At 47.2% G+C, this 24,814-nt stretch overlaps 1 long non-coding RNA gene across 1 annotated transcript in view, besides 3 other annotated features; it reads right to left on the reverse strand.

Annotated features, from left to right (window-relative positions):
- Window positions 1-24,814, reverse strand: part of LINC02351 (long intergenic non-protein coding RNA 2351) — a 97,566-nt gene that overhangs the window by 69,544 nt on the left and 3,208 nt on the right. The gene's annotated exons all lie outside the window — the stretch shown is intronic.
- Window positions 21,001-22,200: an enhancer, noted in NCBI's record as "BRD4-independent group 4 enhancer chr15:98957206-98958405 (GRCh37/hg19 assembly coordinates)". NCBI's record gives its function as "activates an origin of replication core promoter dependent on BRD2, P300/CBP, MED14 and CDK7 cofactors, and independent of BRD4, by STARR-seq in HCT116 cells {active_cell/tissue: HCT116}" and the evidence as "EXISTENCE:reporter gene assay evidence [ECO:0000049][PMID:35650434]".
- Window positions 22,963-23,463: an enhancer, noted in NCBI's record as "H3K4me1 hESC enhancer chr15:98959168-98959668 (GRCh37/hg19 assembly coordinates)". NCBI's record gives its function as "activates a minimal SCP1, AML or CMV promoter by ChIP-STARR-seq in primed H9 embryonic stem cells {active_cell/tissue: H9 hESC(primed)}" and the evidence as "EXISTENCE:reporter gene assay evidence [ECO:0000049][PMID:30033119]".
- Window positions 23,464-23,964: an enhancer, noted in NCBI's record as "H3K4me1 hESC enhancer chr15:98959669-98960169 (GRCh37/hg19 assembly coordinates)". NCBI's record gives its function as "activates a minimal SCP1, AML or CMV promoter by ChIP-STARR-seq in naive and primed H9 embryonic stem cells {active_cell/tissue: H9 hESC(naive and primed)}" and the evidence as "EXISTENCE:reporter gene assay evidence [ECO:0000049][PMID:30033119]".

Here is a 24,814-nt window from a genome sequence, read left to right on the forward strand (position 1 = left end):
GGTATATCAGGTGCTTCCTCTGGGAACAAGTAGACAGCTGGAGCCAGAAGTGCAGGAGATTTATAAAGGGGAGAGGGAACAGGAGCAGGAAGGGGGCCTTCAGCTCAGGATGCAGATCTGAGATGCAGGAAAGAGAAGGGAAGGAAGGAGAACTGGAAAGGAAAAGCCTCACATTGGGGTACAGCTCTGAGAAAGTCACCACCGGCCCAGGGAAGGTTCAAACAAATTTGAGTATGCTGAAATGATTTTAGTGAGGGGACCTGCCCATCTTCACCACTGCAGCCCTTTCTTCCTTTAGTCCTGATTCCATCAACTGTCCCTTCTATTCTTTTGCTTTTTAAGCCTCAAAGCCTATTTATATAAATACTTGTTTTTTTAATTCAAATAACCCCATTTTTATTAATTGAATTTGAGTAATCCTTTCTCAGAAGATCACCCTTGTCATTGAACACTTAGACCACTTTTCTACCAAACCAACATTTTAATGAAGCTGTCTTTCGGCTGAAACGTCCAGGATCATTTCAAAGTGCTTCCTGCAATGACTGAGAGACACCAGCATCCTGTCAATGCTGTATGTTCCCAAGTTAGTTAAGAAAAACTTTGCCGGCATTCGGTACCCACAAAAAGGATAAGAAAGATGTTTTTTTCACACTTCAGGCATCAGATGCTCGGTTTTAAAATACCCTGCCTGGTGTGAACTTAGCTTTCAACATCAAATGCAGCTTTTCCAAGTTTGAAACCAAGTGGCTGAGAAATAGAGATGCTGGGTGGGAAAATGCACATGTGCACGGAATCATGTTGTGAAACTGGCATACGTGTGGGCAAGTGCAACCGTTCACATCCAAATAAACAGCTGGACAGCCTTGCGTGATTCTGAGCCCCTACCACCAGTGGGTGTGCATGCACAGAAGCACACACACACACGTGCACACAGGCGCACACACACACGCACATGCATACACACAGACATTACATCAGTTACTAGACATGCCAACTGAAGCACTGTGTGTCTTTTGCATTCATGTGTGGTTCCATCCATATGTGTTTTAGACATGTGCACCAAGCAAAGAATGCTGTGGAAACACGCGATGAAACAAAGTTGCTCTTCTTCCTCCTTTAAAAAGAAATGGCCCAGTACACCTTCCAAATCACTACGATTTTGTAACATTTAAACAACCAAGAATGGTTTCAATCAAAAGTATTAGCTGACCTTCTGCAAGATCTGTGCCTTGTTGGCAGCCTGGAGCAGGACTAGTCCCGGCCCGCATACTCACTCCACCTTTCCAAGTTTAGCCTTTGTGATGAGGCCCGTCCTTGTGGCTGTTCTGATTTTGCCGCGTGCTAAAACTCAAAGAAGGCAGGTGGGCAATGCAGCAGAAGGAAAGCCGGTTTCCTGTTTTAAAATCCGACACTAGTTCTGGCTCTGCCGCTGGCTCCTTCTGTGTCCTGAGTGAGCCTCAACATCTTCATCTGGAAAATGGGTCCTGCCACTGAAGCACAGTCATTGTCTGGGGTAAATAGCCGAGATTCATTGTCTCATGGTCGTGGAAAACTAAGACACGGACACACCAGAGTGAGGTTAACAGCGGAAGTTTCATTGGTGAGAGAAAGAGACAGAGAAAGAGACGGAGAAAGAACCGGAGAAGCGGGCTGCCAGTTCCAAGGTGAAATGCAACGAGTTTTATAGATGAGCTTGAGGAGTCTATAAAGGTGTCTGATTTACAAAGGGCACGAAAGATTGGTTGGACCAGGTGTGCCATTTGCATAAGGTGCGAAAAACTGGTTCGGACTAGGTGTGTCATTTGCATACTGCATGAAAAACCTGGCCGCCCCATCCTAATCTTTTATTATGCAGATGGTTTCTCTACCTAGCTGGCATCGTGTTGCCTGCTTCTTTACTGTACATGTGGTGACAAAGAAAAGGAAAGATAGAGTCTCCATGTTGAACATACCTGGCCCCCAGGTAGCCCTTTTCTATTGGCACAGTTGCCAGCATTCACCCGTGCAAGCTTCCAGATTTTCTTATCTATGTTTGCAGCTCCAATTTTTAGGCTGCTCTTTGTTAGAAAAGAAATGGTTTGGGGGCTGCTTTTTGTTAAAAGGGAAACCTTGTTGATGACTCTTTTAGCCTCACTATCTACCTAGTTTCTTTCTATCTCCTCTATCCCCATCTCCTTGAGTGGCTCAATTAGGGATTTAGGAGGTGTAGGTGAGAGAGCGTCATCAACCATGCAGAGGCGTGCAAACCAAGGTATCCATCCTTACAGCAGCTGTTACAGAGTATATGGCTGTCACCAAGAATAGGGCAGACCTGGCCAGACTTCAGAAAGCTCAGTGGAATGGTTTGAAAGTTTGTCCTCTCCAAAAGTCATGTTGAAATTTAATCCCCAATGTGGCAGGATTGAGTGGTGGGGCCTTTAAGAAGCGATTGGGTCATGAGAGCTCTGCCCTCATGAATGAATTAATCCGTTCATGGGTTAATAAATTCATAGATTAATGAATTATCATGGGAGTGGGAGATATCATAAGGAGAGGAAGAGAAACCTGACGTAGCACACCAGCCTCCTCACCACGTGATGCCCTGTGCCACCTCGGAACTCTGCAGAGGGTCCCCACCAGCAAGAAGGCGTTCACCATGGGGCCCCTCCACCTTGGACTTCTCAGCCTCCACAAATGTAAAAAATAAATTCCTTCTCCTTATAAATCACCCAGTTCAGGGATTCTGTTATAAGTGATAGAAAATGGACTAAGAAACACAGAAAGGCAAATGCTTCTCTATGTATTTCTTAGACTCCCCCTTCTAAGTGCCTCTTCTGAAGGAAAAGCAGTTTCATCTTTAATAAAATGTGACAAGACATTTTCAACATCAGTACCACCTTCCAATCCAACCAGGCTCCTGCAAAGCTCAGTCTTTGGAGAAGTCAGACTCCATTTTGTTGTTTTTAAACCTGATCAAATTCATCATTTTAAAACATACAGTAATAATAACAGCTACAGTTAAGGAGTGCACAGTATAATGCTGCAAAGCATTGAATGCTTTCTCATGTTCTTTAACCCTCATAACAATCCCTATTTTGTAGATGAGAAAAATCAAGGTACATGAGGTGAAATAACTTGCTGTAGGACACAGAACTACTATAGTAAGGGGTGATGCTGAGATTCCATTCAAGCACTGTGTCACCTCACTTCACGTACCGTAGCGACTGAGCTCTCCTGCCTTTCAAGGGCTTCTCTGGAACAATCCCTCCCGGATACTGCAACTTTACATATTTTAAACCCATTGGAATATTTCAGAGAGCACTTGAAGCAATCATCAGGACAATGAAGGTAGAACCAAAGAAAGAAAAGGCTATGATTACGTTGGTATCTCATTTCCGGGAAGACCACTCTCCTGATTCCCAGTTGATCCTGTTGTCCCAAGTTAATTATTAACATTATAGCTTTGCCTTTTACTCTCAGATGCAGCCAGGCTGGAACCATAAACTACATGGTCATCCCAGGCTTAAAATGTTGCAATACATTAAGCTGAGTTTTTAAAAAGGAATTCCCAGAAACAACCCTTGTGGAAATTGACTGCTGTTTCTCTGCAAAAAAGTCTTGGCAGATTTTATCTTACACTTTAATAGTCCTGGGTGTCAAGTCCGTAAGCCTCACCTGAATTATAAATTGGGGTATTTCTCTATTAATTCAAATATCCAGGCCAGGAGCGGTGGCTCACGCCTGTAATCCCAGTACTTTGAGAGGCTGAGGTGGGTGGATCACGAGGTCAGGAAATCGAGACCATCCTGGCTAACACGGTGAAACCCCAACTTACTAAAAATACAAAAAATATATTTTTTTTTGTAGTATTGTAGTATGTAGTATTTTGTAGCATGTAGTATTCGAGAACACTCCTACAAATCCAGGGGTCCTGGGAAGAGGAGAATCACTCCAAAATTCTGTTCTAAATCCTTGCCACTTCCTATTTTAAAGTAAGAGTTTGTGTGTATTATTCTGTTTTGTTTCATTTTTAAGTTATGTTCTGACTTCAGTTTACCTATTTCTTTCTAATTCAGTCTGTGAGTACAGCTACTAAATAAAGGAGACAATTATTTAAATCTTATCCTAATTGCATAGTTCATTTTAACTATGTTGACACTAAAATTGATTCATGTGTATATTTAATTGACTTAATAAAAAATTCCATTTTATAGAGTTATTTCCAGTTACCTCTATATACTATAGCTAGTTGTAAGGAAAGTTGAACATAAAAGTGAACATAATAGTAATTCCCTAAATCTCACCTATTTAAATGTGGTATTTGGGTTAGTAATAATTAAGCCATATTGACCCATCAGTGTGATGAAGATTTCTCTCCATGTTTAAGAGTATACTTTTGTGGGAAGCCCCGCTGGTTATCTCCTGCAGGACCACCCCTATGGGACAGCTGGACAAGGGGTCACAGTGCCCATCTCTTGCTTTGAGGTACCGGGGAGACAATAAAGAACGTTTTGGGTGTGAACCTCGTAATGCAAGCAGCTGGAGGCCCCAAAGACTAGAATTCGCCCCAGAGACCTATGGGTTTGCTTCCTGAGAAGAGGAAGCCAACCAACGCCCACCCATTCCTGGCCATTAGCTCATGACACATGGAAACCGGGCAGGGCCTCCTCCGAGCAGTTGCTCTGCCCCGTTCCTCCACTGGAATGTCCCCTTGTCCAAGCTGGGGAAATGGCAGGCAGACAAAACTGTTGTGAGAGAGTTCCAATTTAATCAACCTTAAATAAGCCATCTATTTTCCTGGAACAAGGATTTTTCTAAGCTGCCTTTTACATAATGAAATTACCCACATTTCAAATTCTTTTCTCAGAGCCCCAGAGCTGAAACATTCGTTTCCTGTAAAATGAGGACCTCTAACCCCTTCCCCATTGCCGCGTATCCCAGGTTGGGGCTACTGATTATCTCCTTTTTATTTGAACTCGCTTCACTCGAAGGACAAAGCATACGGGCCTTCAGCACTTGACCCTGCTGAAAATATTTAACATCTGAATTAAACCAACAGGCTTTGCCAGAAATGCTCTTCGTATTTTATGTCTGAGGCTATTTTCCCCCAGCATTTAATCACTAAAACATAAGTAGATACAGACAACTCCGATGAATTGTGTTCCCTGAACTAAATGCCATCAAGGAAATTCTTTATTTTCGCTTTTTCACAGTAAGTGTTATAAAGTGTTCTATACCCTTTGTTTCCCCTGCTGGAGTCAATTATTCTGGAAACAAACATTATTGTTCACAATGAAGATCCAAGGGCTATTAGCGTGATCCAACAGCTGTACTGGGGGTGAACCCAGAAGCAATGAGGCAGAGATGAGGGTGGAGGCGAGGAAGCTGGCTTTGATGGAAGATCAGAGACAATAAAATTATACAGCCATCTTTGTTTACTGCCCTTTCAGGATTAATGCCAAAAGGCCCATTCCACAACAATTGACTGCAAAAAGGAATAATGGGGCTTACTGGACATTTCCAGAAGGCATGTCTAGACCGGCTTTTTCCCAGTGAATAAGTCAACAATATTTATCAGGCACCATCATCATATAAAGCATGCTGCATGGTGCTGCCAGCATATAGAGAAAAAGACAAAACACAATGCCTTTCCTAAAAATGATCTGTATTCTTCTCACTGGTGAGCCCAGTGCCTATTTCATGCAAAGTAATGAGCTGGACACCACAGCCCATAAGGAAAAATAAAGTCTCGCCCTGGGCTACAGGAGGCATGTTCTAGAGTGCCTGTCCCACTCCCGTCCAGCCTGTGGCTTTGGTGGCTGTGTTTGGTCTGGGTGGTCTTGTGGCCACAGCTGGACTGAATAGAGCAAAACATACATCCTAGGGATCCCATTAACCGTTCTAAGGTCTGGCAGAAAACAGTGGTGGTCTCTCTTGAAAAGCTGGGCCACAAGACACAGAGCAGGCAGATGTGGTCAACACAGCAGCTCTAACACCACGTGGACTCAGCTTACAAAAGAGGCCAGACAACAGGAGGAGATGGAAGCAGAGACGAGTAAGATCCTATGCACCCGGTGTGGCCAGGGCTGCGGATGACCTCAGGGCTCCTGAGAAATAGGGAGGATCTTGGGTCCTTCCCTCAAGGTTTCAATTTGCAAGTTCTCCTGCAAAAAGGGGCTCTGAAGGGACACTTGGAGGAGCTCAGCAAGGGCCCTTGAGTTGGGGTGCAGTGGGCTGTGTCTGGCCCATGCCTGAGGATCTAAAGAAAGGATCTCCTGGAGCTGAGGCAGAAGGTCAGGGACCCAGAGAGGAATCCACAGGCTAGAGCTTGTCTTGGGAACATTTTAAAAGAGGTCATGCCACCAAGAGGTCTGTGTGAGGTGAGCATCACCCTCTTCCTGAGGGCCTTTGCCTCTGAAGGACCCGCAGGCACATGCTTGTGATGAAGAGGCAGCTCTGGAGATTGGCCAGATGCAGGGAGCTAACAGTAACTCATGGTATCGTGAGTCAAGGCTGGGGACTGCCCTGTGCCCTCCAAAATTCATATGTTGAGACCTTAACCCCCAATGTAATGGTATTTGGAGATGGGTCCTTTGGTAGATAATTAGGTTTAGATGACGTCCTCAGGGTGGAGCCCTCATGATAGGAATAATGCCCCTATAAGAAGAAACCGCAGGGAGCTGGCTCTGTCTCCTTCCTCCATGTGAGCACACAGTAAGAAGGCAGCCATCTGTAACCCAGAAAGACAGCTCTCCCCACGACCCAGAACCCAGTCATCCTGGCACCTCCATCTGGGACTGCCCAGCCTCCAGAGCTACAAGAAATCAATGTCTGTGATTTTAGCCACCTAGGCTGTGGTGTTCTTTAAGGCAGCCTGAACCACCTAAGACATTAAGTAAAGTTATTCTTACCTCTTTTCCCTGTTTCTCTCCCCCAAGCTCTAGCCTTGAGGGAGGCAGAAGCCAGAACTTGAAACCTGTGGGAAGAGAAGCAAGCAAATGAGCTGAGCCCATGCCCTCGCCTGGGCCATATGGCTGGCTCTAGTTGGGGAGGAGAGATGCTCTGACTTTCATCAGAGTCAGAGTGCTCAGTATTACACTGGAGCGGGCATCTCCATGCCTGCTGAAGACTGTGTTTGCTGCAGAAGCTGTAGGAGCTCCTATAACCTCAGAAGGACTTTCAGGCCACAGAGCCCAGGCACCATGGGAAAGTCCATACTCAGAAGGAACAGTGGGGAGAAAATCAAGTCATATTTTGATCACATTCCCACGTCATGCTTGTGCACAAAACCAATGTGAAGAAACTGGGAAAGTCACATGGGGAGGTGGCCCCTCCCAACATCCAATCACCTTCAACTGATTGGATGAGGCCCACCCACATTGTGGCAGACCATGTTTTACCCAGAGCTCGTCAATCTAAATGTTCTTCTACCCAAAAACACCCTCCAGTTGACACACAAAATTCACCACCACAAAGATCATCACAACACCCATCTGGCTCAGTTGCCCATGGGCACAGTGAAAGTGGACAGCTCCCCTCAGTGCAGAAGCATCAAAGGTCTCAGCCACTCAGGACTGGGCACACATTTCCTGGAAGAATCATGTGAGGAACTTGTGCAGATACCACCAGAAGCAGCATCCAGAACCTCTGAGGGCCAACCTGTAGCACAAAATCACATCCTTTAGGTGGAGACTTTAGAAACTTTCCAGCTGCATCCAGGAGTCAACCATGGGTTTCATTATCAGCTTAAGAGGGAAGATTCTGGCATTCACTCACACAGTCAACATGGCTCAGGAGGGAGAATGTGGAAGATCGTCAAGATGTGCAGATGATAGGGTCCTTCCTGATAAAGGAACAATGACTTAACTAGCAAATATGAAATTATTTCAGGACTCTGAGTTATCTAAATTCCTCTAGCCAGCCTGCAAAGTTCACTTATTGGGTGATCTAAGTGGACGATAACACCTGTCTCATGTCTGCTTGATGTTTTACAAGGGCAAAATGTGTTCATGTGCCTCCTCTTATGAAATCCTTAAAATCTTTCTCAAAGTCCTAATTTAGAAATTAGGAAATGAGATTAGGTGGTTAATCATAAGAGTGAGTGAGGACTTTAGCCAGCAGCCTCTGGCTCCAGGTCTGGCATCCTTTCCAGACCTCTCCCGAGGAGAGGCTGATGATTGCTCAAACTATAAGACGCCCAAGGCCACCACAGCAAGGACTGTTGCTCATCACCATACAGCAACCCCCAAGAGGGAAATCAACCAGAAAGGGGTGATGCAATCAATCAAGGGTAAAGGGGCTGGGATTTTGAAGTGAAGGACATTCTGAACCTCTTCCCAGCAGGTCAGCAGAAGGCACACAAAGTGACTAAAGCAAATGCCTCATTCCTCATGTTACTGCAGCCCTGCTTTGCAGGGGAAATGTCTAAAGCCAAGCAGACCAGAGCGTTTTGGCCAAAGTGAGCTCCCCAGATAGAGTTGGAAGGATCCACATGTACTAACAAGACTTGCCGTGATAAACAGAATGCTGAGAAGACCCCCAAGCTTCCCTCTCCCTGGTATACACACACTTTCCCCCAGATATTCAATCCAGCACTAATCCAGATGCTTCCATAAAGGGATTTTTACAGGTGTAATGAAGGTCCCAAATCAGTTGATCTTAAGAACAGGAGGTTATCCTGACTGAGTGTGACCTAATCAGCTGAGCCCTTAGAAGGGGCAGAGCTCTTCCTAGCAAAAGAGACTCAAAGCATGAGAGGGGTTCCATGCAAGGGAGGTTCTCAGTGGCTGGCTTTGATGATGGAGGGACCATAGGTCAAGGAATGTGGGTGACTTCTAGGAGCTGAGAGAACCCCCAGCTGAAAACCAGCAAAGACAGAGACTGAGCGTGGAGGTGGATTTTTCCCCAGGTGCACTGGCCTGGCCACCTCCCCAAGCACAGAATTCAGTCCTGTTGCATCCAGACTTCTGTCTTACGGAACCATGAGCTAGTAAGTGGGTTGCCCGAAGTACCTAAGTATGTGGTCATTTCTTACACAGCAATAGAAAATGAGCACAATTGCAAATGCCTACTAATTGCTCCCTCTTTGCCAGGCAGCTATATGTTTAGTTAATTAAATTAATCCTCACAACACTATGAGGTGCACACACTTATCATCCCAATTTTACCAGTGAGGAAATCAGGGTACCAGAGACTAAGCCAGTTCTTACATATTAATACTTTTTCTAACCTGAAATTCTGGGAGGCTGTCAGCCTCCCCACAGGGCCCTGGTTTGCTTTCCCAACTTTCATCTTTGTATCTGTAACTAGTCTGAGGGGTGCCCGCCTCCCACCCCTGCTATCAGGACTCTGGGCTGACCTTCTAGGCTAACAGAGAGACAGAGAATGAAGGGTGCTGTATTAGTTTGCTACGGCAGTATATTAGTCAGGGTTCTCTAGAGGCACAGAATAGGCTAGATGCATATATGAAAGGGAGTTTATTAAGGAGGATTGACAATGCAGCCTTCAGTCTGTGGCCAAAGGCCTGAGAGTCCCTGGCAAACCACTGGTGTAAGTCCAAGAGTCCAAAAGGTGAAGAACTTGGAGTCCAATGTTCAAAGGCATGAAGCATCCAGCGCTGGAGAAAGATGAAGGCCAGAAGACTCAACAAGTCCACCCTCATTCAACTTCCTTCTGCCTGCTTTATCCTAGCTGCGCTGGCAGCTGATTAGATAGTCCCACCCAGATTGTGGGTGGGTCTGCCTCTCTCGGTCCACTGACTGAAATGTTAATCTCCTTGGGCAACACTCTCACAGACACACCCAGGAACAATACCTTGCATCTTTCAGTACAATCAGGTTGACACTCAATATTAACCACCACAGGCAGCCTCAACAAAGTACCATAGACTGGGTAGCTTAAACAACAGAAGTTGATTTCCTCATAGTTTTGGAGGGTGGAAGTCCAAAACCAAGGCATCAGCAGGGTTGCTTCTTCCAGAGACCCCTCTCTCTGTCTTGCAGACGGCCACCGTCCCCACCCCCCACCCCGTGTCTCCATATGACCTCCCTCTGCACATGTGTGTGTGTGTGTCCAAATTTCCTCTACTTATTAGCATACTAGTCACATCAGATGACTTCATTTAACCCTAATCACATTTTTAAGGGCCCTGTCTCCAAATACAGTAGTCACATTCTGAGATACTGGAGATTAGAATTTCAACATATGAGTTTTAGAAGCACAACATTCAGCCCAAAAAAGACACCAAGTTCAAACTCAGAGGCTTGAACAAACTTGTCAGAGCCCAAGTGAAAGGCCACCTCAGAGCTCCTCCCAGCCATTCGTCAACTAATAGCCAGCAGAGCCAAAGGTTCCCAAATTCCATCACCACTATCTCCCCCAACCTCTTCCCTCACCTGTGCTCCGGACCCTCAGCACCAGGCCATCATTTCCTGCCCTGCACTCCAAGACACGTGGCCCCACAGAGCCCAGGGATCACGCCAGGTAGTGGACTGTAACCAGCTGGTCTCACTGGAATTTCAAAGGAGAGCAACATTTAACAGTTCAAGCGGGGCCAAAGGCTGACATTAAGCAAATTTCAAGGGTTATTTGAAGTTAATTGAGTTTAATCATATAATGATTTTATAATTAGTCATAGTGTTCTTGTTTCTAGGAGGGTGGACCTGAGCTCTAAAGAAAAGGGCTGAATTGAGCAGGGAAGGGGCCCGGGCCGCAGTGGTGGGAAGCAGGTAGGGCCCCGGTGGAGGACGTGCTGTGCGGATGAACCCACAGAAATGCACAAGTGTGTTGGGTCCCAAACCGCACCAGCCTGAGCTGGGATCCCGAACTCGCGCTCCATCTGCTGGTGCTTCCTGCTTTTTCAAACTCCTTACTTGGGAGTACATCTCATCTGTGTTGAGATGGAGGCTTGTTGCAAGCGAGTGGCACAATAAAACGTCCAAGGTGACCAGGATCATTGTGAACTCCGCAAATGCTGCTTCGGATCCAGCCATGAGATCTGCAGGGCTATTAACCTAACGGACCAGTAGCTTTGAACTTCTGGGCAATTATGAAGGATTTCTGTTTGCCGGGCTTCCATCCCTGTAGGTCTTTGAGGTCGGTGCCGTGAGGGCCCCATGGGCCTCTCACCCAAGCTGACTCTGGGCTGTAGGTTTTGCTTCCAATGCCACAACATTTAGCCCTTGGGGCCTCATCGCATCCCTGAATAATGGAATTGGGAATCACTCATGGGAAGTCCTGCAAACGCGTTGTGAGATGGGCTTCTCAGGAAGAGCCCAACTGTCCGGGGTGGGGGGAGTCAGACTGACCAGGGTGACAACATCCAGCGCATCACCATGTGTGTGGGTCCCCAAAAATCAGGGAATGTTTTCTCTGAAGTTCATGATCACCAAGTGGGAGAGCAGTAGGAAGAAAACCACCATTTATCACAAAAGGACTATTGTTCAGACACTGTGCTCTCTCATTTCTTTCCCACGGCCGCTTTTGGGGACCACAAATGAAGAGAGGCTCACAGAAGCAAAGTCACCTGCCTGAGGCCACACACTCAGTTCCAGGCCATCCGACGCCAGCATCAGTGGCAGGGCACCGTGCCATGCCAGCCAGCGCACATAAAGAAGGCAAGGTGGGGAAGCTGGGTAGGTTCCGGTAGAAACACCCCATCCCTGCACAGACACCTGCGACACCATCAACCTGAGACGTCCACCCACTGTCCGCCACAGGAAAGTCTAAGGGTTGCATCAGAACCACACTCATACTTTTCTTTGCCTCCCAGGCCCTTTCCCACAGAAGGATCAAGTTAACCACATGAATATAATTTCAGGGAAATGAATCAATGAGACAACGGTATAGAAAACACTGCGTGTAAACTCCAACCTCTTATTTAATTATTTGATGATCGAAATACTAAAGATGCCCCATGCAACCCAAATGCCTGTCGACGGATGACTGGATGGATCATACATACATACGAGGGGATTATTATTCAGCCTTAAAAATAAAGGAGATTCTACTATGCAGCCATAAAAAAGAATGAGATCATGTCCTTTGCAGGGACATGGATGAAGCTAGAAGCCATCATCCTCAGCAAACTAACACAGGAACAGAAAACCAAATACCTCATGTTCTCAGTTTTCGGTTTCAGTGTTGCAAAACAATAAGAGTTCTGGAGATGGATGGTGCTGGTGGTGGCTGCACAGCCATGTGAATGTACTTAATACCCTGAACTGTACACTTAAAGTAGTAAGATGATAGATTGTATGTCATGCATAGTTTACCACACATAACCTTGGGCTAAAAAAAAAGGCACTGTGCACGTCACAGTTGCACTGTTCCCAGAGCTCCTAGACACCCCTTCAAGGCCAGCCACCCTGAATAGAATCTCTGTTTCTGGAACAAGTAAAGTGAGGCTGCAGATCCCAAGGCCAGCCTGTCTGAGCTCCTTCCTCACCCTATAGAAGTTTGTCCTGAATGGAGACTGAGCCTCTGACTTGGACTTTACCGGGACAGCTTATCCTGTACAAGGTCAGTTCACCATCGGCTACTGGGGCCTCTGGGGCTTCTGGCCAGGCCCCTCCTCCCCTGCCCCAGGCTGCTGTTGCTGCTGCTCACGAACTTTTCTCCTTCTTTTCCTAGGCATCCCCAAGTCTGATGAAAACTGGGACATGCTCAAGCCACACTCTAGGTGTTGTAAATGGGGCTGTGACTACACATATGCAGGACACAGTGCAGAATGATGCAGGCTGTCTCTCTCCCTCTCTCATACACACACACACACACACACACACACACACACACACACACACACACACTCACACTCACCCACAAAAAAATACTACACAGTTCCCAAGAGGCCATACCTACAACATTGAGGCAAAGGGGTATCTGTTGGCCTCCCCTAGCTCCAGGCTGAGATTAGTGCATTCAGTACCTGTTTAGTAAGGGACCCAGCATAACAGTGGATAAGACACAGCTCTGTCCTCAAGGATCCCAACGTCTCCAGAAAAGCCCAGCATTAAAGTTGGGATAGCAATACAAAGACATGGGGCGAGGGTAGGGGGAGCCCCCAGTCCTCCTGAACACAGAGAGGGGCTCCAACCTGGGCCTTGGGAAGGAGCAGGAAGATTGATAAGGTAGCCACGACCTGGAGTCTCGAAAGACAAGAAATTCAGGTAGGCACAGAGGAAGGAGTGGCCCAGGGCGCAGCAACAGCTCGTGGGGAGACAGGCCAGTGAGAAACACTATGTCTCCCACCAGACTCTCCCCTCCCTTCCTGAGTCTCGCTCGTGAGCTGAGGGACTTGCTCACTAAAGTCCTGCCTTCCATGTCCTCATCCATAGAGGGAGGCAGACAATCTCTCTCCTGCAAGGGGAATTGCTAGCAGTCCCAGAAACTGTGTGGGGGGTTATGAGGCCCTTTCCCTACAAGGGGATCTTCTGCTGCCGTCTCCCACTCCCAACACCCCCAGCCACCTGTGCTCTTCATTTCCGAGCAGAATGGGACTGCCCTTGTTGCTTCTCCAAATCTCCAGGCTTATGCTGTTTCGACTTCAGCCCTACTTGTCTCCGTCACCACACACATGTGCACTCACATGTACAACACACATGCACATAAGAACACTGCACACGTGTGCACACACAAACATGCACACAAGTATGTGCACATACACACACCTACACGTGCACACTCACACAGTTAATCCCTCAACTGGATTACATGGACAGAATCCTGTCATCTTCCTGCTGCTCCCACCACTGCTGAGTCCTCAACGCAAGAGTTCAAAGACTAGCTTAAAAAAAAAAAGTTGCTGAGAACACTTGCCCTATCCCAAGAGATTTTACTTTTGGTGGACCTGGGGCTAGAAGTCTAAGGTTTTGACTGATGACTTTGAGGTGGGTGAGTAGGTGGAACTGGGTCACTCCTTCCTTCTCCTCCTACCCCAGGTGCATTTTCTCTTGCCCTGTGCTTCCAGGTACCTGAAGGTGCCAGAGGTTGCTCTCTCACTGTCTACATTTTGCTGGCTTTTACAGAAGAAACCATTTTAAAGCACCATTGAGGGTAACATCCATCAGTCGTGTGCTCATGACAATCATTAAAGCATGTCACCCAAGTGGAACTGGTATTGTTGATCAATCTTGACTTATCTAGCAATCTGCCCACGCAGGTGTGTGGCATCCAACGTCCACACTCTTTCCCTACCAGACAATGCCCACCAAGACCTCCCAGCAAGATATGTGATGAACCCTACTGGCTTTACTGTGGGCAACACAAGCCATTTCTTTTCAGACATTCTGCGATTCTGACTCCCTTCCCACACCTGATGGCCCAACTTGTGGATTTTATAATGTCCACCAGCTCAGCCTGGCCACATTTCAGGATGGCAGCTTATGCCCAAGGTATCCACCACTGCCTAGTTTGGATGTTTTCAACTACAAGCAACAGACAACCTGGATTCCAACTGGTTTTAAAATATGGACATTGAATATTTCCTGTTATAAACAGGACAGCCAGGTAGGATGTTGATCTACCAACTCTACAGAGCCTTCAGAAATTGTACTCTGCCATCCATGGTCTTAATGTCATCTTCACTCTGGTCCCCTGGAGATCCACCAATGGCTCCATCAGCAGCCTTCCATCAAGCAGATGGACCGTGTCATCCAGGTGGGCTGGAAGGTAGACAAGGTAGACCACTTATATCCTGCAGGAGTGAGAACCCCTCCCACCTGAGTGGCCTCCAGCACTTTTCTGATTGGGCCAAGGAAGGTCCAATGTTCACCCCTTGACTCAGCACAGTCACCTGGGGTCGACCACACTTCCGCTTCCCATGGCTGTACCAAGGAGAAGCAGGGGAATTAACAAAATCTGAGTCCCTTAGAAAGAAGGAAGGGAAACTGGATACTGGGTAGGTGGCTGCAAGAGCCACAGCATTCCATATGACATTGACTCATCAAAACAGGCCTCAGACTCGGCCCCCTTGGCAGACAGAAAATAAGAAGCTGTTGCATGGACCGGATACGGTGGCTCATGCCTGTAATCCCAGCACTTTGGGAGGCCAAGGCGGGTGGATCAGCTGAGGTCAGAAGTTCGAGACCAGCTTGACCAACATGGTGAAACCCTGTCTCTATCAAAAATACAAAAATTAGCTGGGCTTGGTGGTGGGCACCTGTAATCCAAGCTACTCGGGAGGCTGAAGCAGGATAATCGCTTGAACTCAGGAGGTTGCAGTGAGCCAAGATGGTGTCACTGCACTCCAGCCTGGGTGACACAGTGAGACTCCGTCTCAAAAAAAGTAAAAATAAAAACTGGTGCATGCCCTGCGCAGGGGGCCCCCCAAAAAGAAAGGGGTTCATGGAGAGCTTCACAAGCAGATCCAGGCAAAGCCAGGCTTCCCGTCACAGAATGCTTCATTAGTCATAAGGATTTTCAGGACTTTTTGAAAGTACTTTGCTCCAAGCACCTGATTAAACATTAATGAAAGGTCAAGGTTGTGGTGCGAGGGACCTCTGTCTCTATTCCTCAAGAATTCTCCTCAACGCCCTTGCCTCCTCACTCCCCTGCCTCCCTGTCTGCCCCACTGTCCGAACGCTGAGAGACGGCGCCAACAACCTGCCTCTGCTTCCTTTGGAACGGGGCATTTCCAAAGCCTTGGTTTGTAGGAACAGTTTTAGGATTTGGGTCATTTGTGGCCCTAGGTTAGACAGTTTTGCTTCCCTGCAAAGCACTTACAGGCGAGAAAAAATGGATGGTCAACACAATGGGATTTCTGCATTCAAGGCCACCTTTCCTGTATGTTAGTATTATTGATCACCCACACCTCAGGGCGTGACAGGTAATCAATAGACCCTCTGACCCAGATATGTGACTTGGCCTGTGGGGGCTTTAAAAACAAGAAGTGAACATGGCAACTCTGGTTCACGCTTTCATACACGAGAATTACATTTTTTTTCCCCAGAGCTGCAAAGCCGTTTCTGCTCAAATTACCCCAGCCAACTTAGGAGCACGTAATCAGAGGGTCCTTTTCATTTTTTCCTGCCGGATAGTTCTGCAACCAACCTCAAGCCATTAAGAGCAAGTGACAGGCCAAACTTTGGGGGGAAAAAAATCTATTTATGCCCCCAAAGAGCTAGGATTCCATATCACCATTCCTTGGAAGGGGCCATTAACCTTCTAGATGTGGGAAATAATGACACCACAGTGGGGGCAGGAGAAGAGGAAGGGGAAGGGGATGGAATATAGAAGCCATGGACACTGTGACCCTCATAAACAGAAGGATCATAGCTGGGGATAATGACATTGACCCTCAGGCTGTGAATTTAGTGGAATGAGGGTCGGGGGGAGTGTGAAAAACTCATAAAGAAAAATAGAAGACAAAAAACTCTAAAACTATCATCTCTTGCAGGAAGCCAGCCCTGACACAGCTTTATATCCTATCTAGACCAGAAGCCACCTCCTCAGTGGGCTCATACTTCCCTGGACATATCTGTACCATTGTGTGTGTGTGTGTGTGTGTGTGTACACATATGTATATGTGTACATATATGTATGTATATATGAATACATGTATGTACTTACAGCCTTCAGCCTTAGAGGAACAGCTGTGGGTGTACACATATGTATAGTATACATATATATACATACGTACACACACACACGCACACACACACACAGAGCTGTTCTTCCAAGGCTGTGAGTCCACTGAGGTTGAAGGCAGAAATCCTAACCAGTCCTTGTCTAAATCCCAATCCCAAACAAAACCCAGCACCTGACAGATTCTCATCAAAGCCTAAGGAATGCGTGAATGAGTTAATGAATGAGCAAATGAGTGAATGAATTTATGAAAGAGTGAATGCATGGATTAGTATGTGGATAAATACATGAATGAATTTATGAATGAATGAATAAAAATGTGACATCCAACCAAACACAGAATGTCAACGGGCTAATACCATCAAGGATAATTTCTATAACATCCCTAAGGACAGAGGCACCTTTCATCCCTCTCCTAGAAATTTACAAAGGAGAGTTGGCTAGGTGCAATAAAAAAGAACATAGACTTTTACATCCAGAGTTGGGACCAAACCTGGGCTCCACTATCAAAGAGAGGTTAGGCAATCTATTTAAATAGGTTTACCCTGTTTGTCCCTCAGTGTTACCATCTGAGACATGGGAATAAGATACAGCCTCACTTATAGAGTTATAGTAATAATTAGAGGTACTCATTGCCTGGCACATAGTTGGCACCCCATCAGTTGTCATTATCAATATTAACCATGGAGTGGCCTGGCCAAAGCTGGGGCATCTGTTTTTAAGCCAGGAAGGGTTAACCTCACAAAGTATGCCAAGGTCATTCTCAGATATCAGACCACTTGGCACTGGGCTGAGTTGCCAAAGATATTAGTCCACAACATCCTCTTCCCAACCTTGAAAAGAATAATAAATTCTAATTGGCCATTAGTGAAAATTCGCACAAGAATTGTGAATTGACAAAACAGCAAAGGCACACTGCCTTTGTGCAAGCAAAGTTATGGTAAATATTAAGTTGCTGAAAATGCCAAACGCTATAGATCAGTCAGGATATGCTAGGCTGTGCTGCAGTAACAAACAACTCCAAAATCTCAGTGGGCTAAAAATCATGATACAGGTCAGCAAGGGGACTCTGCTCAGAGATCCAGGCTTACTGAACAATTACCATCTCAAATGGTTCTGATCAGCAGTGCCAGGAGGAAACAGATCTGGAGGGTCTCATAATGACAATTAAATGTCCAGTCTGTGGATATGATCCATGCACAATCATTGATGTGAGCTAATTACTTGACACTATCCAATCATGACAGGGCCAGGATGGGCAACCCTAGCATGCGGCCAGAGTGGGAACAAAGGAAAATATTTCGCAAATAACACTAAAGGGCACCACACACCACAAGAAAAGGAAACATCCAGTAAGCTCCATCCATGCCAGTGCTGGACAGTGATGCCCACAAGAATGACTCCCAGACAAAGGAATCAAACCCTTCCCAAGACGCAACAGCTCTGAGTAGAAGGGGAAGGTCATTGCAGAAGACAGCTTTGTTTTGCATTTAGCAAAGCGTGAGGGAGCTCAGAATTCCCTTACTGCTCTCTTTAAAAGTCAACTGTATTCATATTAATTGGGCATCCACATCATATCACAACACTGCCTGTGTTAGGCAAGAACAGGGCGGAACCATTCAGAAATGTGGATTCTTGCACAAAAGTGAGAAAGTGCTTCTTTCCCTAATTTGGAAGTGAGTTTAAAAATGCACAAAGAAGCAGAAATTCCTCTGGGCATATTACTCTGCCAGATATGCTATGAGTTATTAGTAGCGGCTCTGCCAGGCTTACAGGGGGCTCAGCAAAGAGCCTCATTTTCCAGGTCAAGATCATTAGGGAGTTTAATTAGCACCTTGGTTGCAGAATCCATATGTACCCTGTCCTCCGAGGCCTACATAGAATTAACTGAGGAGCCCCATTCTTTGCCAGATGGAAGGCTGAGTGCTCCCCTAGATGTCTTCAGGCTCTTGAGGCTTGCATTCACGTGGGTTCCCTCTTGTACAGCTTTCTTTCCCACTGGCTCTTCAACTCACCTGCCAAAGGGAAACAAGCAAAGGGAAAAGGTGGGCACCACCCAGTGTGTCTGTAACAGCCTGGGGTGCAGTGCTGCAAGAACAAGACATGGGAGTCTTGAGAGGACCATCAGCTGGGGGACCTGTAAGAGGGTCTTGGATTCTGCAGGAGGAAGCTGGACTTTATCCAGTCATTGATGCAAGGCCAGGGAAGGATTTTAAGCAAAGAGTGGATGTGGTCAGATTCACACTTTAGGTGGGTCACAGGGCAACTCCAGACATTGGTGAGGAAGCAGGCAAAGGTGGAGAGAGAACCCAGAGGGGAAGCTTTTGCAGGACTCCTGATGAGAAGCCAGGGGTCTGACCCTGAGCTGGAAAGAGAGAGAGAGAGAGGTGGGGAACTATTTGTGAACTCATTAAGAAAGTAAAGCCAGCAGGTCTTGGTGATTAAAACTGGGTGTAAGGGAGAAGCAGGAGTTCAGAGGGCAGTGGGAATTGATGGAGCACAGGATATGTCCAGAAGAGAGCGAGTTGCCAGGTAAACTAGAAGGTAGGCTGCCCTTTGCGGAGTAGGAGAGGATATGGCCAGAAATGTCAGTTACCTTAAAAGTTAGGGGTGGCAGTGGGGCACGGCGGCTCACACCTGTAATTCCAGCACTTTGGGAGGCCGAGATGGGTGGATCACCTGAGGTCAGGAGTTCAAGACCAGCCTAGTTAACATGGTGAAACCCCGTCTGTATTAAAAACACAAAAAATTGGCGGGGCATGGTGGCTCATGCCTGTAATCCCAGCATTTTGGGAAGCCGAGGCAGGTGGATCACAAGTCAGGAGATTAGGACCAACCTGGCTAATACAGTGAAATCCCGTCTCTACTAAAAATACAAAACAATTAGCCGGACGTGGTGGCATTTGCCTGTAGTCCCAGCTACTTGGGAGGCTGAGGCAGGCGAATCGCTTGAACCTGGGAGGCAGAGGTTGCAGTGAGCCAAGATTGCACCACTGCACTCCAGCCTGGGCAACAGAGCAAGACTCTATCTCAAAAAACAGAAAACAAAAAACCCACCATAAAAAAATAGCCAGGCATGGTGGCGGGCGCCTGTATTCCCACCTACTCAGGAGGCTGAGGCACGAGAATCACTTGAACCTGGGAGGTGGAGGATGCAACGAGCTGAGATCATGCCAGCGCACTCCAGCCTGGGAGGCAGAGTGAAACTCCATCGAAAGAAAGGAAGAGAGAAAAAGAGAGAGACAGAAAGAAAAGAGAGGAAGGAAGGGAGGGAGCGGGGGAGGGAAGAAGGAAGGAAGGAAGGAAGGAAGGAAGGACAGAAGGAAGGAAGGAAAGGAGTGAAGGAGGGAAGGAAGGAAAGTTAAGGGTGGCAGAGGGTGGGAGAGGCACTCTGTGCTGAGTTCTTTAAACACGGGGCAGTCTGTAATGGTTTTTAAGGAAAGATGCACCAGGACTGGGTTACTTTTCTGGCGGCTTGTCTGTCTAGACTGGGTAAACCAATCATACAAGAGCCTGTGGACTAAATTCCCTGAAAACACAGACAGCAATGTTTACATAAGGGATGAGATCATTTTAAAGTATGTCCACAAATTCTTCAACACCATTCCCTTCTAAAGGTGGAACCTAATTCCCCTCCTCTAAACTAAAATGTGGGCCAGCTTCTAACAGAATATGAGGAAGACATGGTGTCTGGCATCCAAGACTAGGTTTTAAAATGCATGGTATTGTCCTCCTCGCTTCCTCTCATGGATCACCTGTTCTGCAGGAAGCCAGCTGCCATGTCATAAGGACACTCAAGCAGCACTGTGGAGAAACTCATGTAATGAGAGACTGACACCTCCTATCAAAAACTAGGGAGGAACCGAGGTCTCTTACCAATAGCCATATGAGCATGCCATCTTGGAAGTGGATCCTTAAGTCCCGGTCAAGCCTTAGATGACTGCAGCCCCAGCTGACATCTTGACTAAAACCTCATGAGACACCATGAGCCAGAACCACCTGGCTAAGATGTATCCAAATTCCTGACCCTTGGCAACTATGTGACATAGTAAATATTTGTTGTTTTTAGCCAACACGTGTTGGGCTAATTTTTACTCAGCAACAGGTAACTAATACAATGGAATTCCTGGGAAATGGTTGAAAGGTGAATGATAAAATGGAAGGGAGGAAGGATACAGGTTAGACAGCCCTTGCCAAAGTTTAGGAAAGACACACGAGGAGCTGAACAAAGGTGATGTGGATGGAAAGGAGAGAAACAGCAATGTGGGATGAAAGGTGGAAATCCTAGGGATCTTGGCAACTAGTTGACCATGAGATGATATGCAGGAAAGAAAGATTATTCCAAGGTTGGGAGCCTGAGTGACCAAAAGGAACCTTTGGGAAAGGAAATTATGTGGATCTGTCACTGTTATCATAAACAGCACCACTGTCACCATTGTTAGTATTTAGAACAGTTTTCCTCTTAAAGAATATGTTCTCAAAAACAGCATGATCTCACTTAAGGGGGTTTCCATTCTCTTGTCATTTCAACTACTGAAGTGGCCAAAGCATGTTTTGTAACAAAAATTTTCCATTTGGCTGTTTTGTTTTCTGAAAATGCTTGTAATTACCCCCGAGTACTGGAGGAACTTGAAGCAGGCGTGGCCTTTTTCAACAGCCAAATGAGCCAGACCAAATCCTTTCCAGCAGCATCCTGCAGCACTTTAAAGAAGTGTGCATTGATCGAGGAGCTAGCTGGCACGCACGCAGGCAGACGGCCACCTCACCGGAATTCCCAGTGAGACGCAGTGGCAAGGGCCGCATCGATTGACTCATCAACACTTTGGAGTTGAGCAGAGAGAAAGAAACTCAGCTGGACATGGGGAGGCACAAGTGACGGGTGCTGACGGCCTCTTCTGTAATGGATTCTTGAGCCAGATGGTTCCTTCTCCTGGATGTCAGGGCAGCAGATGCATGTGACTTCACCAAGCGTCAGATGAACCAAACACTTGGCAAAAGCTGAAGCTGGCTCCCCTGGATCAGATACAAGGAAAACTATTAGGACCCTCTTCTTTGCCTCCTCTTTAAAAGGCCACGGAAACATTAAGGGAGAGGTTTACTCAAAAGTAGAAAACCTCCTCTGGTTGCAGGCCTGCCGCCAAATGAACTCATTCTCCTCCACTGCACTTATTTCAAGGTAAAGGAAAAGCAGAAAGAGATTAGCAAGGAAGGTCATTTTATTGTTCATCTTATTTACAGATACCTGATTGACGGAACCAATGCAGAGAATCCAGGACAAGCGCCCCATGATATTAAGACAGTTGGGTGTGGTGGCTCACACCTGTAATCCTAGCACTATGGGAGGCCAAGGTCGAAGGGTACCTTTAGGCCAACAGTCTGAGACCAGCCTGAGCAACACAGCAAGAACCTGTCTCTACAACAACTATTAACTAAAAAATTAGCCAAGTGCAGTAGAACATGACCGTAGTCCCAGCTACTCAGAGGCTGAAGCAGGAAGATCACTTGAGCCCAGGAGTTGGAGGCTGCAGTGAGCTATGATTGTACCACTGGTACTCCAGCCTGGACGACAGAGTGAGATTCTGTCTAGAAAAAAAAAGTTCTTCTCCTGGCTGTGGTTTTATGTGGGGGTCTTACCTCCTCAACAGGTATGTACTAAACACCTACTGCAAATCCCACTGCCCCAGACTCTGATCAGGAGAAGATTCCTGAGTAGACCCATCCGGGGACTCTGGCCATGCTATGCAAGCTGTATTGCCCAGGCTGATGGGTTGGCTGTTTTCCCCACTGGACCTGTGGTTCTCAACCAGGGAGACTGACACCCATGGGACATTGGGAAATGTCTGGAGACATTTGTTGATTGCCATATACTGGAGCAGAGGGAGGTGCTATTGGCATCCAGTAGGTAGCATCCAGAGAGGCAACTGCACACCACATAATTCCCAGGACAGCTGCTGACAGCAGAATTCCCCAGCCCAGAGCACTAAATAACGCTGAGGCTGAAGAACCTTGGTCTAGATTATAAACTCCACACAGGCCAGCATTGGGCCTTTTGTCCCCAGTGCCTAAGACACAGTGACTGATTCATAGTAGGTACGGAATGGAGGGAAAAAGGGAAAGAAGGAAACAAGAGGAGGAGGGAGGAAGTCACATTGCACATTCTCAGAGAAACTTAAAGGCTGGATGGGCCGGGCGCGGTGGCTCACGCCTGTAATCCCAGCACTTTGGGAGGCCAAGGCAGGCGGATCATGAGGTCAGGAGATCGAGACCATCCTGGCTAACACAGTGAAACCCCATCTCTACTAAAAGTACAAAGTTAGCCGGGTGTGGTGGCGGGCACCTGTAGTCCCAGCTACTCGGGAGGCTGAGGCAGGAGAATGGCGTGAACCTGGGAGGTGGAAATTGCAGTGAGCCGAGATTGCACCACTACACTCCAGCCTGGGTGACAGAGCGAGACTCTGTCTCAAAAAAAAAAAAAAAAGCTGGATGAAAGGGCATTGCAATTTGGCTTGACCAATGTGCTGTAGTCTCTCTGTCAAAGTGTTTCACCGTCCTTCCAGATTTTTCCAGTTCAAGCCCAGTTGTTGATATCAAGTCAGCTGCTCCTCCCAGAACTCTGACAACATCAATCCTCATCAGTAGCCCCCAACTCTTCAGTTTCAGAGAGCCATAAAAAAGGTGGTCTTCTTCCCTACTCTGCCCCAAGTGTGTACCCACTGTGGCCCATGAGTGGCCTTGCACAGCACTGACCTTCACCGTCACCCCTGGAGCTCACAACAGTTTTGACTGCCCCACAGCCTACACAAGTGCACACACACACAAACACACACAGGAAGTAATGTGCAGGGCCACTTGACTCTACTGCTCTCTGCTGGGGCTGGTCACCCGAGATGGCCTCATTCCCAGTTGCAAACAAAACCTAGTGAGCTCAGAGCCCTTACATTCCAGAGCGGTCTGTACCATGTTTTGCTTCCCCTTCGGACTTGCCATCGGAGAGAACGCAAACTCCACTGAGACAGGCTGTCATGCAAAGCCAGCTCGCCACTCTCTTCCCAAGGGGTCGGTCCTCTTCTTGGGCCTCCCCAACCCACCCCAGGCAGGCATCTCCTGGTAACTGCACTGGCTGACCTGTTGAGCAAGAAACAGATTGAAGAGAGGCTTTTGACAAGGCCTCTGCAGGCACTGCTCTGCCTGCCAAGCTTCATGGAATGCTGGAAGCATCCCCATTTAAATGAAGAATCTAGCCATTCTGTGCTCACCCAGGAAGTTTATATTTGTGTCAGTGAAGCATGCATTCTAGAAGACCATAAACAAAGCCATAGCCTTGGGGACCCAGAGAGCAGCCTCCTGAGGGGCTGTCCAAAGTTAGAACGTACTCCTCGCAGGGGACGGAAGTACCCATATCAAACATGTCTTCTGATTTCTTTTATTTCTGTATTCTGATGCTATGACATTTGTGGTTTTGCTGACCCTGAAGGGACTGCCCCTCCAGCGATAGCTGATTCCTAAGAGAGTCAACAAATTGCCCCCCACCCCCAAGTATGTTTTTCAAGTGCAAACAAACAAATCTTGATCTCACACACCCTCTCCAGCATCCTCCTTCATTAGGTTCCCACCCTCCTGAGCCACCATCCATCCACCCTGATCACCCCAGGGCCAGGTGCCAGACAACTAGGGACACCCTGGATGCCCTGGAGCCTGGAAATTCTTCAAATTTGCCAATCCTGAGACTGCTTGCCCTGCCTCTCTGCTCCATCCCACGGAAGGCACAATAAAGACCTCTGACCCATTTTCCCCAACCCAATCACCCTGACTGACCAACCCAATCACCCTGACCAACCCGGTGCTTCCTCTTATGAATGTGCCTCTTCTTTGCAGGAAACTGTAATTAGGATAAGGTGTTTCTTGGTGACAATTATTTCCATATCTGGGGCATGGTGACGTAGCCTCCCCATCTCAATGCTGAGGGAGTACAGAGTAGTCAGAGGCAGGAGGAGGCGGCGCACTGCACTGTGGAAGCTCTGACTGTAAGCAGACACGACGTCTGTTCCCTAGATCACTCCCTCTATCGTCCCCACAAACTGTGGACACCGAAGAGGCACAGAAGCGGTTAAAACCCCTCGCTCACCAGAGGCAGAGCCAAGATTTGAACCCAAGACTCGAACAGCGAACAGTGGTTCTCTTTCCACCTCCTCTGGCTGCTTTCTCAATGGACGCTTTAAAGCATCAACAAGGATATGTCTTTTTTCCTTTCTGG

The sequence above is a fragment of the Homo sapiens genome, chromosome 15 (genome assembly GCF_000001405.40).
Source record: "Homo sapiens chromosome 15, GRCh38.p14 Primary Assembly".
Taxonomy (NCBI): domain Eukaryota; kingdom Metazoa; phylum Chordata; class Mammalia; order Primates; family Hominidae; genus Homo; species Homo sapiens.